At 38.5% G+C, this 17557-nt stretch overlaps 1 pseudogene, besides 2 other annotated features; it reads left to right on the top strand.

The window, feature by feature from the left end:
- Nucleotides 13565-14037, top strand: NDUFS5P5 (NADH:ubiquinone oxidoreductase subunit S5 pseudogene 5; annotated as a pseudogene).
- Nucleotides 15859-15908: an enhancer, noted in NCBI's record as "active region_21846". NCBI's record gives its function as "activates an Ori minimal core promoter by ATAC-STARR-seq in GM12878 lymphoblastoid cells {active_cell/tissue: GM12878}" and the evidence as "EXISTENCE:reporter gene assay evidence [ECO:0000049][PMID:35858748]".
- Nucleotides 15994-17193: an enhancer, noted in NCBI's record as "MED14-independent group 3 enhancer chr4:119318395-119319594 (GRCh37/hg19 assembly coordinates)". NCBI's record gives its function as "activates an origin of replication core promoter dependent on BRD2, BRD4, P300/CBP and CDK7 cofactors, and independent of MED14, by STARR-seq in HCT116 cells {active_cell/tissue: HCT116}" and the evidence as "EXISTENCE:reporter gene assay evidence [ECO:0000049][PMID:35650434]".

Genomic DNA, 17557 nt, shown 5'->3' with positions numbered 1-17557 from the left:
CAGATGTTTCCAGAGGATACTGGCATGTGAGTCAGGGACCAAGCAAGAAAGTTCTGCCCTCAATGTGGACAGGCACCATCCAATCAGCTTGGGGCCTACATAAAGCAAAAAAACTCTCTCTCTCTCTGTCTTTCTCTCTCTCTCTCTCTCTCTCTCTCTCATCCTGATTAATACAAAGAATATAAGAGACTAAGAAATTAAAATTCAACCCCCAAAAGAGAATCACCTATAGAAATAGTAGTGATTTCAGAAATAATAATGAACTATATAGCAATAATATTGAAAAACTTCAATGAAAAAAGAAACAAATTTCCAGGAATAATTTGCCTGGAAAGTAGAAAACTTGAATTGCCTGTTAGCTATGAAATTGATTTCTAATCACCCATCAGGCCTCTGGTGCAGGTAATGTTTGTTATGGTCAAAGTTCTTTATTCTAGTTAAGCAAATCCACTCTAGCTATTATAATCTGAAAATACTTTATTAAGAAATGTATGAGGCCCAGCATGGTGGCTCATACCTATAATTCCAGCGTTTTGGGAGGCCTAAGAGAGCAGATCATTTGAGCTCAAGAGTTTGAAACCCACCTGGGCAACATGGCAAAACCCCACCTCTACAAAAAATGCACACAAAACGTTAGGCAGGTGTGCTCGTGTGCGCCTGTAGCCCAGCTGCTCGGGGACTGATGTGGGAGGATGGCTTGAGCCCGTGGAGCGGAGGTGGCAGTGAGCTGTGATCAGTGCCACTGCACTCCTGGGCGACAGAGTGAGACTCTGTCTCAAAAGAAAATAAACAAATAAATAAATTTTAAAAGGAAATGTATATATATCACAGAAGTACTAGAAAGACTTAAGTAACAGACTCTGACTTAGTTTCCAAGAATGATCTCCAAAACCCAGCAGGACTGAACAACTAAGAGAACTGCAGCCACTATTATGATCAGGAATTTGCCACCAGCAGTACTGGTTTTAGTATCACACTGCCACTGCCACAATCTATACTATAAAACCAAATGTACTGTACCCTGTTTCCACATAATTCCATCTTGAATCAAAATCTCCCACAAGTGAATATTATTAACAGAACCTAAATTACATTCAGAATCCTAACTGCTAGAGAATCTAAAACATGTAGATTTTACTTTCAGTCTCTATATGTTATAAAGCAGTTGGAACAAGATTGAAAAAATAATCTACAGGATCAGATTGTTTTAAAGATGGGTTCTTCAAAACTTTCCCAGAAGAGCTAAGTCTAGTTTATACAAAGTGTTCCAGAAAAAAGAAAGTGAAGGACAGCTGCACAACTCATTTTAAGTCTTCGACTCTCAACTCATTTTAAGAAGTTAATTATAATCTTCAGACAACCACTGGATTAGGACAGTACAAGAAAAGAAAGTTATTAGCTACTTGTTAGCCGTAAGTGAGTTATTAGCTCACTTTTGAGCAAAAATGTGAAATTCTAAATAAATATTAGCTTATTTCAACCATGTTTTAATAAAATATGGCAATGTAAATTTTATTCCAGAAATGTAAGGAGGTTCGTCACCAGAAAAGATATTAATATAATTTATCACATTAGTAGACTAAAGGGGGGGAAATGACTCAACATATGGAGAAAGACCATTTGATAATGTTTAACATCTAATTATGAGATATTTTAAAGTGTTAGAAAAAACTATGAATTAAAGATAATTTTTTAATTTGACAAAAGCTTTTTTTTTTTTTTTTTTTTTTGAGATGGAGTCTCGCACTGTCGCCCAGGCTGGAGCACAGTGGTGCGATCTCAGCTCACTGCAACCTCCACCTCCTGGGTTCAAGCGATTCTCCTGCCTCAGCCACCAGAGTAGCTGCAACTACAGGCACCCGCCACCACTCTTGGCTAATTTTTGTATTTTCAGTTGAGACGGGGTTCCACAATGTTGGTCAGGCTGGTCTCGAACTCCTGACCTCAGGTGATCCGCCCACCTCGGCCTCCCAAAATGCTGGGATTACAGGCATGAGCCACCACTCCTGGCCTTAACAAAAGCTTTTAATAAATATCTATTAGCAAACTTAGGAAAAAAAATTGTGACATATCATCTTTAGGGACAAGAAAGAGTCTTGCATGGCTTCCATTGAATATGGTGAGGGGTTCTCAGTCAACACAGTATTTTTTCCTTCCGAAAAAATGGGAAATATAAGGATTGGATAGAATGGACGACCCAACCCTTTCACAGTTTGCAGATTATTAGATCTTATACTAGAGGACCCAATTGAATCGATAGACAAACTATTAGAACTAATATGAGAGCTCAGAAGGGCTGTGGAGATGCAAGATTTATGATAGACAACAAAACAATAGTGAACACATATAGTATTTACTTAATTCATATATAAGACATTTTATAAATATTTTATGTATATTAATTCATTTAAATTCCATATAAAAATCAGTAACATTCTTCCGTATCAGCAGTGACCAACTGGAAATTAGTATAAAATGCAATTTCATTCACAACAGCAATAAAAACTACAAAGTATATAGGATATAAACTAATGAATGAACCCATCCTTTAAAACAGAGTTTTTCAAGCTCTATTAAAGGACATAAAACAAGATCTAGGTAAAAAGGAAAAAGTACCACATTCATGAGTGGGACAAATGAATACTGTAAAAATATCATTCTCCCTAAATCTATAAATTCAATGCAATTTTAATGAAAATTTCATGAGGATTTTGTGAAGAACTAGGCAATTAATTAGCTTATAAAATGTGCATAGAATAATAATAGACCACAAATAAATAAGATGAATTTTTTAAAAAGAAGAGCAAAGAGAGGGAACTTGTCTAGTTGAATATATTAAGACATATAAAACCATAGCAATAAAAATAGTATGATACCAGTATAGGAATGGACAAAAAAAATGATATAACAGAATAGGAAACCAGTAAACAAGCCTATGTTATATATGAGAATGAGGAATATAGTAGAAATTAGCATCATAACTCATAGAGGAAAGACACATTATTTAGTATGTGGCTCAACACATAGGAAAAAAATAAACCTAACTATGAAAGGCAACACTATGAAGTGAGTGAAATACATGAAGCTTTCTTTGTGAACTTGGGATGGGAAAGGATTTTTAAACAAGACCCAAAAAGTACAAACCTTAAGGGTGTGTGGTGGAAATTGATGGATGTGATCATGTTAAAACTGAATATTTCTATACAAAGAAGATATGATAGACAAACTTAACAGGCTGGTTGCAGACACATTAGCAGGAGATATTTTTAAAGTGTAACACTAAAAAGTGATTAACATTTAGACCATATAAGGAACTACTAAAATCTACAAGGAAACTCAAAAATTGAACAAGGACTAAAATAGACAATTCATGGGAAGGGAATTCTAAATAGCCAAAATGTATATGAAGAGATGTTCAACTTCACTTGTAATCAGAGAAATTCAAATTAAGTCAACAAAGAATCGCTAAAAATTACAAAGTCAGCTAATACTAAGTGCTGGCTAGGATGTCAAGAAATCAGAAAACTCATGCACTATTGATGGGAGTGTAACTCACAATACCTAGTGAAATTAATTATTCATATAATTTGTATACTTATCATTCCCTCACCTGGGTTTATATTGTGTACAAATCCTTAAGGGGATATTTTGGAGTGTGGTATCCTATCATTATTAGTGTTAGCAAGAAGTTAGAGGCAGCTTCATGTCCATCCCTAGGGAAATGGCTACTCAGAATACATAGCATGTACACACAATGGGATAAAATACAGGAAGAAGTAGTTAACCATTTTTATATGTAGGAATGTAGATGGATCTTGGAAATATGGAATTAATTCTATAGAACAAAACAATTTTTATATATTCAAAATACACATATACACAGAAAACAACCATATGTTGTATCTCAGGGCTGTATTTTCAGATGCCTAAGGAAACATATTGGATATATTAATGTGTATATCTCTGATGGGAAAGATGATGTATATGAGAATGAATAGGACAAAGGGGAAAGAATAATGAAATAAAACAGGGGCATTGTATGGACTCATAATGACGATGGAATCTGAAATCTGTGTATTTGAGAGCGGTATGACTCACAGATAATGCATGTGTGTCCTAATTTGGGGAGGAATATTTAAGTAATGTTCTCAACAAAAGGAAGCACTGGTTTTAAAACAGATTCTGGGAGGATTTGAATGGCCTTATGTAGAAGACAGATGGATACGTGATTAATACAAATTCTTGCTTTAGGTATTTTCCTCCCTCAGAAGTGTTGGAAATTAATCTGAAATTAATTTGCCTCCAGCAATCAGTCTAGGAGAGGAGTAGAAATTTAAAACCATGGTTATTTAATATTCAAAGAGAATGGCTCTGTAAATCTGGAAAACACAAATAACCTGACAAAAGCTTGTTTTTTATTTAGTTTCATGTAATCTGTCAGGCAGTAGTTTAAAAAGTATCAGGTTTTTTTCTTCTGGTATTATTTCATTGCATGTACTCACTGACAAAACCTTTTATTTATCAGTAAAATGTTCCCTATTATTCATTGTTATGCAAGCAATATACCACAAATCACTGCATAGCTATTTTTAAAATTTTATTATTATTATACTTTAAGTTTTAGGGTACATGCGCACAACGTGCAGGTTTATTACATATGTATACATGTGCCATGTTGGCGTGCTGCACCCATTAACTCGTCATTTAGCATTAGGTATATCTCCTAATGCTATCCCTCCCCCCTCCCCCCACCCCACGACAGTCCCCAGTGTGTGATGTTCCCCTTCCTGTGTCCATGTGTTCTCATTGTTCAATTCCCACCCATGAGTGAGAACATGTGGTGTTTGGTTTTTTCTCCTTGCCATAGTGTGCTGAGAATGATAGTTTCCAGCTTCATCCATGTCCCGACAAAGGACATGAACTCATCATTTTTTATGGCTGCATAGTATTCCATGGTGTATATGTGCAACATTTTCTTAATCCAGTCTATCATTGTTGGACACTTGGGTTGGTTCCAAGACTTTGCTATTGTGAATAGTGCCGCGATAAACTCATGTGTGCATGTGTCTTTATAGCAGCATGATTTGTAATCCTTTGGGTATATACCCAGTAATGGGATAGCTGGGTCAAATGGTATTTCTAGTTCTAGATCCCTGAGAAATCGCCACACCGACTTCCACAATGGTTGAACTAGTTTACAGTCCTACCAACAGTGTAAAAGTGTTCCTATTTCTCCACATCCTCTCCAGCACCTGTTGTTTCCTGACTTTTTAATGATTGCCATTCTAACTGGTGTGAGATGGTATCTCACTGTGGTTTTGATTTGCATTTCTCTGATGGCCAGTGATGATGAGCATTCTTTCATGTCTTTTTTGGCTGCATAAATGTCTTCTTTTGAGAAGTGTCTGTTCATGTCCTTTGCCCACTTTTTGATGGGGTTGTTTGTTTTTTTCTTGTAAATTGGTTTGAGTTCATTGTAGATTCTGGATATTAGCCCTTTGTCAGATGAGTAGGTTGCAAAAATTTTCTCCCATTCTATAGGTTGCCTGTTCATTCTGATGGTGGTTTCTTTTGCTGTGCAGAAACTCTTGAGTTTAATTAGATCCCATTTGTCAATTTTGGCTTTTGTTGCCATTGCTTTTGGTGTTTTAGACATGAAGTGCTTGCCCATGCCTGTGTCCTGAATGGTATTGCCTAGGTTTTCTTCTAGGGTTTTTATGGTTTTAGGTCTAACATGTAAGTCTTTAATCCATCTTGAATTAATTTTTGTATAAGGTGTAAGGAAGGGATCCAGTTTCAGCTTTCTACATATGGCTAGCCAATTTTCCCAGCACCATTTATTAAATAGGGAATCCTTTCCCCATTGCTTGTTTTTGTCAGGTTTGTCAAAGATCAGATAGTTGTAGATATGTGGCATTATTTCTGAGGGCTCTGTTCTGTTCCATTGGTCTATATCTCTGTTTTGGTACCAGTACCATGCTGTTTTGGTTACTGTAGCCTTGTAGTATAGTTTGAAGTCAGATAGTGTGATGCCTCCAGCTTTGTTCTTTTGGCTTAGGATTGACTTGGTGATGCGGGCTCTTTTTTGGTTCCATGTGAACTTTAAAGTAGTTTTTTCCAATTCTGTGAAGAAAGTCATTGGTAGCTTGGTGGGGATGGCATTGAATCTATAAATTACCTTGGGCAGTATGGCCATTTTCACGATATTGATTCTTCCTACCCACGAGCATGGAATATTCTTCCATTTGTTTGTATCCTCTTTTATTTCATTGAGCAGTAGTTTGTAGTTCTCCTTGAAGAGGTCCTTCACATCCCTTGTAAGTTGGATTCCTAGGTATTTTATTCTCTTTGAAGCAATTGTGAATGGGAGTTCACTCATGATTTGGCTCTCAGTTTGTCTGTTATTGGTGTATAAGAATGCTTGTGATTTTTGCACATTGATTTTGTATCCTGAGACTTTGCTGAAATTGCTTATCAGCTTAAGGAGATTTTGGGCTGAGATGATGGGGTTTTCTAGATATACAATCATGTCATCTGCAAACAGGGACAATTTGACTTCCTCTTTTCCTAATTGAATACCCTTTATTTCTTTCTTCTGCCTGATTTCCCTGGCCAGAACTTCCAACACTATGTTGAATAGGAGTGGTGAGAGAGGGCATCCCTGTCTTGTACCAGCTTTCAAAGGGAATGCTTCCAGTTTTTGCCCATTCAGTATGATATTGGCTGTGGGACTGTAATAAATAGCTCTTATTATTTTGAAATATGTTCCTTCAATACCTAACTTACTGAGAGTTTTTAGCATGAAGGGCTGTTGAATTTTGTCAAAGACCTTTTCTGCATCTATTGAGATAATCATGTGGTTTTTGTCTTTGGTTCCGTTTATATACTGGATTACGTTTATTGATTTGCATATGTTAAACCAGCCTTGCATCCCAGGGATGAAGACCACTTGATCATGGTGGATAAGCTTTTTGATGTGCTGCTGGATTCAGTTTGCCAGTATTTTATTGAGAATTTTTGCATTGATGTTCATCAGGGATATTGGTCTAAAATTCTCTTTTTTGTTGTGTCTCTGTCAGCCTTTGATATCAGGATGATGCTGGCCTCATAAAATGAGTTAGGGAGGATTCTGTCTTTTTCTATTGATTGGAATAGTTTCAGAAGGAATGGTACCAGCTCCTCCTTGTACCTCAGGTAAAATTCGGCTGTGAATCCATCTGGTCCCGGACTATTTTTTGGTTGGTAAGCTATTAATTACTGCCTCAATTTCAGAGCCTGTTATTGGTCTATTCAGAGATTCAACTTCTTCCTGGTTTAGTCTTGGGAGGGTGTATGTGTTGAGGAATTTATCCATTTCTTCTAGATTTTCTAGTTTATTTGCATAGAGGTGTTTATAGTATTCTCTGATGGTAGTTTGTATTTCTGTGGGATCGGTGGTGATATCCCCTTTATCATTTTTTATTGCGTCTATTTGATTCTTCTCTCTTTTCTTCTTTATTAGCCTTGCTAGTGGTCTATCAATTTTGTTGATCTTTTCAAAAAACCAGCTCCTGGATTCATTGACTTTTTGAAAGGTTTTTTGTGTCTCTATCTCCTTCAGTTCTGCTCTGATCTTAGTTATTTCTTGTCTTCTGCTAGCTTTTGAATGTGTTTGCTCTTGCTTCTCTAGTTCTTTTAAATTGTGATGTTAGGGTGTCAATTTTAGATCTTTCATGCTTTCTCTTGTGGGCATTTAGTGCTATAAATTTCCCTGTACACACTGCTTTAAATATGTCCCAGAGATTCTGGTATATTGTGTCTTTGTTCTTGTTGGTTTGAAAGAACATCTTTATTTCTGCCTTCATTTCATTATGTACCTAGTAGTCATTCAGGAGCAGGTTGTTCAGTTTCCATGTAGTTGAGTGGTTTTGAGTGAGTTTCTTAATCCTGAGTTCTAGTTTGATTGCACTATGGTCTGAGAGACAGTTTGTTATAATTTCTGTTCTTTTACATTTGCGGAGGAGTGCTTTACTTCCAACTATGTGTTCAATTTTGGAATAAGTGCAATGTGGTGCTGAGAAGAATGTATATTCTGTTGATTTGGGGTGGAGAGTTCTGTAGATATCTATTAGGTCCACTTGGTGCAGAGTTAAGTTCAATTCCTGGATATCCTTGTCAACTTTCTGTCTCGTTGATCTGTCTAATGTTGACAGTGGTGTGTTAAAAGTCTCCCATTATTATTGTGTGGGAGTCTAAATCTCTTTGTAGGTCTCTATGGACTTGCTTTATGAATCTGGGTGCTCCTGTGTTGGGTGCATATAAATTTAGGATAGTTAGCTCTTCTTGTTGAATTGATCCCTTTACCATTATATAATGGCCTTCTTTGTCTCTTTTGATCTTTGTTGGTTTAAAGTCTGTTTTATCAGAGACTAGGATTGCAACCCTGCCTTTTTTTGTTTTCCATTTGTTTGGTAGATCTTCCTCCATCTCTTTATTTTGAGCCTATGTGTGTCTCTGCACGTGAGATGGGTTTCCTGAATACAGCACACTGATGGGTCTTGACTCTTTATCCAATTTGCCAGTCTGTGTCTTTTAATTGGAGCATTTAGCCCATTTACATTTAAGGTTAATATTGTTATGTGTGAATTTGATCCCGTCATTATCTTGTTAGCTGGTTATTTTGCTCGTTAGTTGATGCAGTTTCTTCCTAGCATCAATGGTCTTTACAATTTGGCATGTTTTTGCAGTGGCTGGTACCAATTGTTCCTTTCCATGTTTAGTGCTTCCTTCAGGAGCTCTTTTAGGGCAGGCCTGGTGGTGACAAAATCTCTCAGCATTTGCTTGTCTGTAAAGGATTTTATTTCTCCTTGACTTATGAAGCTTAGTTTGGCTGGATATGAAATTCTGGGTTGAAAATTCTTTTCTTTAAGAATGTTGAATATTGGCCCCCCACTCTCTTCTGGCTTGTAGAGTTTCTGCCGAGAGATCAGCTGTTAGTCTGATGGCTTCCCTTTGTGGGTAACCCAACCTTTCTCTCTGGCTGCCCTTAACATTTTTTCCTTCATTTCAACTTTGGGGAATCTGACAATTATGTGTCTTGGAGTTGCTCTTCTCGAGGAGTATCTTTGTGGCGTTCTCTTTATTTCCTGAATTTGAATGTTGGCCTGCCTTGCTAGGTTGGGGAAGTTCTCCTGGATAATATCCTGCAGAGTGTTTTCCAACTTGATTCCATTCTCCCTGTCACTTTCAGGTACACCAATCAGACGTAGATTTGGTCTTTTCACATAGTTCTATATTTCTTGGAGGCTTTGTTCGTTTCTTTTTATTCTTTTTTCTCTAAACTTCTCTTCTCACTTCATTTCATTCATTTGATCTTCAGTCACTGATACCCTTTCTTCCAGTTGATCGAATCAGCTACTGAAGCTTATGCATTCATCACATAGTTCTCGTGCCATGGTTTTCAGCTCCATCAGGTCCTTTAAGGACTTCTCTGCATTGGTTATTCTAGTTAGCCATTCATCTAATCTTTTTTCAAGGTTTTTAACTTCTTTGCGACGGGTTCGAACTCCTCCTTTAGCTTGGAGAAGTTTGATAGTCTGAAGCCTTCTTCTCTCAGCTCATCAAAGTCATTCTCCATCCAGCTTTGTTCCATTGCTGGTGAGGAGCTGCATTCCTTTGGAGGAGGAGAGGCACTCTGGTTTTTAAAATTTTAAGTTTCTCTTTTCTGTCTTTTCCCCATCTTTGTGGTTTTATCTACCTTTGGTCTTTGATGATGGTGACGTACAGATGGGGTTTTGGTGTGGATGTCCTTTCTGTTTGCTGTTTTCTTTCTAACAGTCAGGATCGTCAGCTGTAGGTCTGTTAGAGTTTGCTGGCCACTCCAGACCTCGTTTGCCTGGGTATCAGCAGCAGAGGCTGCAGAACAGTGAATATTGCTGAACAGCAAATGTTGCTTCCTGATTGCTCCTCTGGAAGTTTTGTCTCAGAGGGCTACCCAGCTGTGTGAGGTGTCAGTCTGCCCCTACTGGGGGTGCCTCCCAGTTAGGCTACTCGCGGGTCAGGGACCCACTTAAGGAGGCAGTCTGTCTGTTCTCAGATCTCAAACTCTGTGCTGGGAGAACCACTACTCTCTTCAGAGCTGTCTGACAGAGACATTTAAGTCTGCAGAGGTTTCTGCTCCCTTTTGTTTGGCTATGCCCTGCCCTCAGAGGTGGAGTCTACAGAGGCAGGCAGGCCTCCTTGAGCTGTGGTGGGCTCCACCCAGTTTGAGCTTCCCAGCTGCTTTGTTTACCTACTCAAGCCTCAGCAATGGTGGTCACCCCTCCCCCAGCCTCGCTGCCACCTTGCAGTTCGAGCTCAGACTGCTGTGCTAGCAATGAGCAAGGCTCGGTGGGCGTGGGACCCTCTGAGCCAGGCACGGGATATAATCTCTTGGTGTGCCGTTTGCTAAGACCATTGGAAAAGCGCAGTATTAGGGTGGGAGTGACCCAATTTTCCATGTGCCTTCTGTCACAGCTTTGCTTGGCTAGGAAAGGGAATTCCCTGACCCCTTGTGCTTCCCGGGTGAGGCGATGCCTCACCCTGCTTCGGCTCATGCTTGGTTCGCTGCACCCACTGTCCTGCACCCACTGTCTGACAAGCCCCAGTTAGATGAACCCGGTACCTCAGTTGGAAATGCAGAAATCACCCGTCTTATGCATCACTCATGTTGGGAGCTGTAGACTGGAGCTGTTCCTATTCAGCCATCTTGGAACCCACCCACCGAACTTTTCAGAGTTGATAGTAAATTTGATTTAAGTTATTAACCCAATTATGTATTTTAATAATTTTTATCTATGTTACAATTTTTCTAAATTTTGTACAATAGAATATACTACTTTTATAGTGAAAAATCAGGCTGTGTATTGTATTTTGCTATATGATGCCATATAAAGTATATGATCCCAAAAAACTAGAAGGAAATGTGCAAAATATAATAGTGTTTATCTTGGGATGGTAGAACTTCATGTGATTTTTTATTTCTTTTGTCTCCTACGATGATCATCGGGAAAATTTTAAGAATGCATAAATTTCCTGGATAAATAAGGAAAAATGCCTTTTAAGCTTAATTTTATATTTGCAAATCTTTTGTTTAAATAAACGAGTAAATGTTCTGAACTATTTTATTTCACTTACTGATGTAGGAACACTTAAAAGGAAATCAGATGAAGATCACACTTGTGGAATCAATGTAAAGAAACAAAAAGCACTCTAAAATTCTTTCCTGCTTTATTTAGTAGATGTTTATTAGTTGATATATTTCAATGATTATTTCTCTGAAAACTTACAGATTTTACATCTGAAAGTAGATAAATAAACATAGTCAAACACCAAAGGCATTGCTTCTTTCAGTGCTTCAGGAATTACTTTGTTTAAAAGTAATTTATCAAATACATGAGAAGTCATAATTTCAGTATGACATTTCAAAAGTTTTACCCAAGTATTTTAGTTAGGTATTTTTCTTGCTGTTGTAAAGCACCTACTTCTTCAGTTTTGATCCCACCATTTCAATGCCAATATTTTAGCTCTGAAGAAATATTAAATAGAAATATAATCACAATATATAAACTTGCATTCTACTTGGTTTTCCAACCAGAAAGTATTTTCAGAGCAAACTCCAAAAACCAGATAATTCCTCAACTTTCTGATATGATTTGGCCCTGTGTCCCCACCCAAATTTCACCTTGAATTATAATCCCCATAATACCCACATGTCAAGGGCAGAACCTGGTGGAGGTAATTGAATCATGGGGGAGGTTCCCCCATGTTGCTCTCATAATAATGAGTGAGTCTCACAGATGTGATGGTTTTATAAGTGTCTGCCATTTCCCCTGCTTGGATTTCTCCTTCCTGCTGCCTTGTAAAGAAGGTGCCTTGCTTTCCCTTGGCCTTCTGCCATGATTGCAAATTTCCTGAGGCCTCCCCAGCCATGCTGAACTGTGAGTCAATTAAACCTCTTTCCTTTATAAATTATCCAGTCTCAGGTATGTTTTTATTAGCAGCATGAGAATAGACTAATACAATAGCTTAGTTAACATTTCTAGTTTTTCCTATTTTTATCTTTACTAAACTTATTCTCACATTTTATAATCAAGATTTTAAATTCATCTAACTTGCTTTTATTTATTTTATTTATTTATTCATTTATTTTGAGATGGAGTCTTGCTCTGTTGCCCAGGCTGGAGTGCAGTGGTGCGATCTCAGCTCACTGCAACCTACACTTCCTGGATTTAAGCAATCCTCCCACTTCAGCATCCCAAGTAGCTGGGATTACAAGCATGCACTACCATGCCCGGCTAATTTTTGTGTTTTTAGTAGTGACAGGGTTTCACCATGTTGACCAGACTGGTCTCAAGCTCCTGACCTCAAGTGAACCACCCACCTTGACCTCACAAAGTCCTAGGATTACCGCGCCCCACCTAACTTGCTTTTATACATATAAAATGAACTATTCCATTGTGAAATTTATTTTTTTTTTTTGGCCATCATATCAATGTCATTTTTTTCTGGCCTATATTTTACTTGTTGTTCTGTATATTCTGATGTCTGCCCTAGAAACATCCTTGAAAATACAGTCTTGAACAAAGGCAGTCAGGTGCTTCTTCTCAAAAGATGTAAAGAAATGTGAGCTATGTAGAGAACTCTCTTCTTACAGTAAAGCAAGAGGCAGAGAGGCTGCAGCTATTCCGATAGATTGCTAAACTGTGGAATTAAGGGTGGCATTAATTCTTTTTTTCTCTGCTCTGTTTCCTTCTGTTAGTTCCTTCACTGCTGTTTCTTGCATCTAGCATAATGCCCTAGCACCTAATACAGTGCCCGGCATTGAGGAGCCCTTACTTTTTGAGAGAGTAGAAGGAAGGAAGGAATTCAGTTTCCTATTACTGCCGCAACAAATTACCACAAACTTAGTGGTTTAAAACAACTACAATTCTGTAGTTCAGAAGTTTCACATGGGGCTCTCTCTGCTAAAATTGAGGTGTGAACAGGGCAGCATTCCTTTCTGGAGGCCATAGGAGAAAATCTGTTTCTTTGCCTTTTCAATTGCAGAGGTCACCTGCATCCCTTGACTCGTGGCTCCCCTTCTCTGACTCCAAAGCCAGCAACACAGCAACTCTCTGACCCTGCTTTCAGCGTCATATCTCTTTCTGACTCTCATTTTTGGCCTCTCCCTTCCACTTTTAAGGAATCTTGTGGATACATTGAATCTACCTGGATAATCCAGGATAATCTGTCAACTGATCAGCAACCTTCATTCTGTCTGCAATCTTAATTCCCCTTTGCATGTAACATAACATATTAACAGGTTCCAGGGATTCAGATGCGGAGATCTATGAAGGGACCATTATTATGCCTACCCCCTCACTTTTGAGGGCAGTACCTATTCTGACCAAACAAATCTAGCCAACAAGCAGGTCATACAGTAGCAGGAGAGTAATTTAGGTGAAAGAAATCACTTAGAAGAATGTTATGAGCATGGCGAGCATGCTGAACCTTGCTTAGCCAGTAAATCCAGTAATTATATTGTGATTTTTAAAAACCATAAATTAGAGAAGAGACAAGGGCATAAGCATCAGATCGCCATGCCTTTCTTGGATGTGCAGAAAAGGTTCGGCCTTAACGTAGATCGATGGTTGACAATCCAAAGTGCTGAACAGCCCTACAAGATTCCTGGTCGATGTCATGCTTTTGAAAAAGAATAGATAGAAAGTGCACATGGAATCGGTAGTATCTGGGCAGAGAAAGAGTGCAAGATAGAATATGATGATTTCACAGAGAGTATACTTAGGCAGAAAACGATGAGACATGTGAGTACTATGAGGAAGCAGCAGGATAAGCTGATAAAGGAAAGGAAGTGCACCCCTCCACCTCACCATGTGGGCAAGGGGGAGCCTCAGCCCTGAGCAGAGCAGCTGCTGATGTCTAGGGGCTGATTTCATGTTCTCTGTTCTCCACTGGAAAGGTTGTTTACAGAAAACCTCCTTGTCAAAGTGTGTGAAAATAAAGGATTGCTCCATCCTAAAAAAAAAAAGAAAAAAAAAACACTAAACTGAATGATGCACAAATATGTAAATGATTTTCCATTGTGGTAGAATTATGAATTATTTAAATTGTTAATGTTGTTCTGCATTTATTAACTTTTCTGCAATAATTAGGTTTTGCTTTATAATTATGTTAATTTTTCAGAATTTTAAAACAATCTGCATAGACTGGGGAAGTTACAAACAGAAAAGAAATACATGAAATGACTCATATGAAATTAACATATATAGCTACTCTTCAACATGTGCTGTGTCCACTCAGGGTTAAATGGATTAAGGGCGGTGCAAGATGTGCTTTGTTAAACAGATGCTTGAAGACAGCACGCCCCTTAAGAGTCATCACCACTCCCTAATCTCAAGTACCCAGGGACAAACAAACAGGGCAGAAGGCCGCAGGGACCTCTGCCTAGGAAAACTAGAGACTTTTGTTCTCGTGTTTATCTGCTGACCTTCTCTCCACTATTATCCTATGACCCTGCCAAATCCCCCTCTCAGAGAAACACCCAAGAATGATCAATAAATACAAAAAAAAAAAAAAAAAGAAATTGATATAAATGATAAAGGCTTAATACATAAATTAGATAATAATTTATAAAATTAGAAAATTTAAAAAAGAAGGATAAATTTCACACATAATACCACTACTCCCAACACAATCCCTTTAAGATGTTTGGTATAGTCTTTCCTATTCCAACATAAATGAGATAATAGACATATTAAAAACACTGTAACTGTGGATCATTCTAAAATATAGTAAAATTATCAAGTCATCCCACTACCACATTTAGCACAGGCTGCTAGTAGTATCCTTATTTCTTCTCTGAAGTTCTAGTACAGGTAAATAGAGGGGGCATTAAAATGAAAAAAATTAGACTGGAGTAAATAAGAATTTTTTTTCTGGGCCAGGCACAGTGGCTCATACCTGATCCCAGCACTTTGAGAGGCCGAGGCAGGAGGATCACTTGAGCCCAGGAGTTTGAGAACAGCCTGGGCAACATGGCAAGCCTCTATTTCTACAAAAAAAAAAACAAAACAAAACAAAACAAAAAACAAAAAAAACACAAAAATCAGCTTGGCGTGGTGGTGCGCGCCTGTAATCCCAGCTACTCAGGAGGCTGAGGTGGGAGGATCGCTTGAACTTGGAAGGGTGAGGCTGTAGTGAGCTGTGATTCTGCCACTGCACTCCCGCCTGGGTGATAAAACAAAATCCTGTTTCAAAAAAATAATAAAAATTACTTTTTCTGACAAAGAAATCGTTGAAAGATGGCTTAAAACATGTTCAGAGGACAGGGAAACTCAGCAAACACTGTGCTTCCCAGTGCTTTTGTCTCTGTGTACCAGGTTGAGTTTTAAAGTGATCAGGAAATAACTAGGGCTTCTTATTCAAGAGTGAAAATGAGACTCTTCCCACAGGCTAGAGTCTCTAAAAGTTACCACCCGCAAGTCCCAAGCCACTCTTAACCAGTCAAGAAATACATCCCACTGGCTGATGAGAGTTGGAATTACTTCTTTTGCTAATTGACCTAGTACTTGGCATGCTATTGTAGGGGAGAAAATAGAATTTCTTTTCTTTTTCTTAGGTTCTTCGTTGAGACACTCTCCTGAAGTCAGATTAACAAAAGAAAAATAAGCAGAAGTTTACTAACACTTGTACCCATTACGTGGAAGAGGCCTCAGGGCAAACATTTATCTTTCAAGGTAGTGTTTTAAGGGCCTGCTGAAATGGTATTTTAACAATGGCCCATAAATCCTATGTAGTGACAAGACAAAGAAATGTTAAAAGAAAAACCTTAGCCAAATTAAATTTGGCAGAGTTTAATTGATCAAAGAACAATTCGCAAATCAGGCAGCCTGAGCCAGGGAGACTCCAGTGCAACCATGTGGTGGAAGAAGATTTACAGACAGAAAAGGAAAGTGACATACAGAAAACAGAAGTGCAATAGGAAACAGCTGGGTTGGTTACAGCTTGGCATTTACCTTATTGAACAAGGTTTCAACAGTTGGCCCCCTTGGCCAAAACTCAGTAACTGCACAAGCATAGGCTTTAGTCTGTGTACACCTCCATTTAAGTTATAGTTCGCTATGTACAGAGAAACCTTTAGGCTGAACTTAAAATATGTAGGGAGGCAGCTTCAGGCTAAACATGATGTAATAGAAAAGAGTATGTTCAGGTTTCCAAAAGGCAAAAAAATGTAGGAAGGTAAATTTATGGGAAAAGGAAAGTCTCCTCCTAAATCCTCTGGCACCAGTATCTCTGAGTTCTGTTTCTGAGCTGATAAAGGACCCCATCTTCAGGTGCGAAAGGCAGAGGGGAGGGGCACAGTGTACTCCTGCCTTTCAACCTTAATTTTAGCTCAACAATCCCCAGTGTTTTAGAGAGGAATATTCTGGTTTCCTTCATCACAGATATGTGCCCAGAACATGTAAAATTGGTTTTCTGCCTCTATTTCCCTGTCTAGCACTCCTTTTCCTCACTAGAACAACTGGAGTTCTATCCAAAACCTCAACCTGTAACAGATGGGCTGCATCACTGATATTGTGCCAGCTCCAACCCTAGAATACAGACTCACATCTGCCCAGAACAGCTGAAGCCTTGCCAGAGAAGGCATGATTTTCCAGAAGCACAAAGCCTTTCTTCGGTATGGCTATACATTTTTTTCTGCATGATAAAAGCCATAATTACATGACACAACATTAAAAAATGTAGAAAATAAGGACAAATTTCACACATAATACCACTACACCTAACACAATTCCTTTAAGAAGTTTGGTATAATTATTCTTATAAAGTTGTTAATGTACAGTCATTTTTATAAACATGTAGAGCAAAGTTCCTAGTTTCAGAATAAACTAGGCTCACACTAGAACTCAGACATGTCTGGGCATATCTCAAGGTCTTGCTGAGGCCTGCCAGGGGAGAGAATTGTGAGGTGGAGTGGGGCTCCCAGCTGGGATTCATGCCAGCCACACAGACCCACATATAAGTTCTGGGGAGAGAGGACAGTGAATGGATATGAAAAACTCTTCCCACCAACGAACCAGCAAATGAAAACCTAATTTCATTACTGTTTGAAATCCAGATATCAGAGTTTATCAATAAAGTGATGGAAGAGTGATTTCTACAACTTCAGCAGGAATACAGTCGGACTTCTCCTTTAAGGGCTTAGGGATAGCTTCCTCAGGGCACTAACCCAGAGGAGAAGAAGAGGGCAAGATATAATCAGTGAGATGTCTGAGGTCACGAGAACAAATGAGAAGTCCTCTGGAAATGTGAGGAAATGTCGGAGGCTTTTAAACAGGTTGAGGACAGAGGAATGTTACTGTGAACCTATCATTCCACCTCTAGCCTGGAATGGCTTTATGGAATTCAGGTTCCTTTTGGAGCCTCAAGGAGCAACGTTATATCCTGGTGCATTGTCTGTGTGCTCCAAAGATTGCTTCCTTCCCTAGAATTACAGCTAATTGACATGTTAAAGACAATGGTGGGGACATGGTTAGAC

Source organism: Homo sapiens, chromosome 4, assembly GCF_000001405.40.
Source record: "Homo sapiens chromosome 4, GRCh38.p14 Primary Assembly".
In the NCBI taxonomy this organism is placed as follows: Eukaryota; Metazoa; Chordata; class Mammalia; order Primates; family Hominidae; genus Homo; species Homo sapiens.
This window is presented reverse-complemented; position numbering and strand designations above follow the sequence as displayed.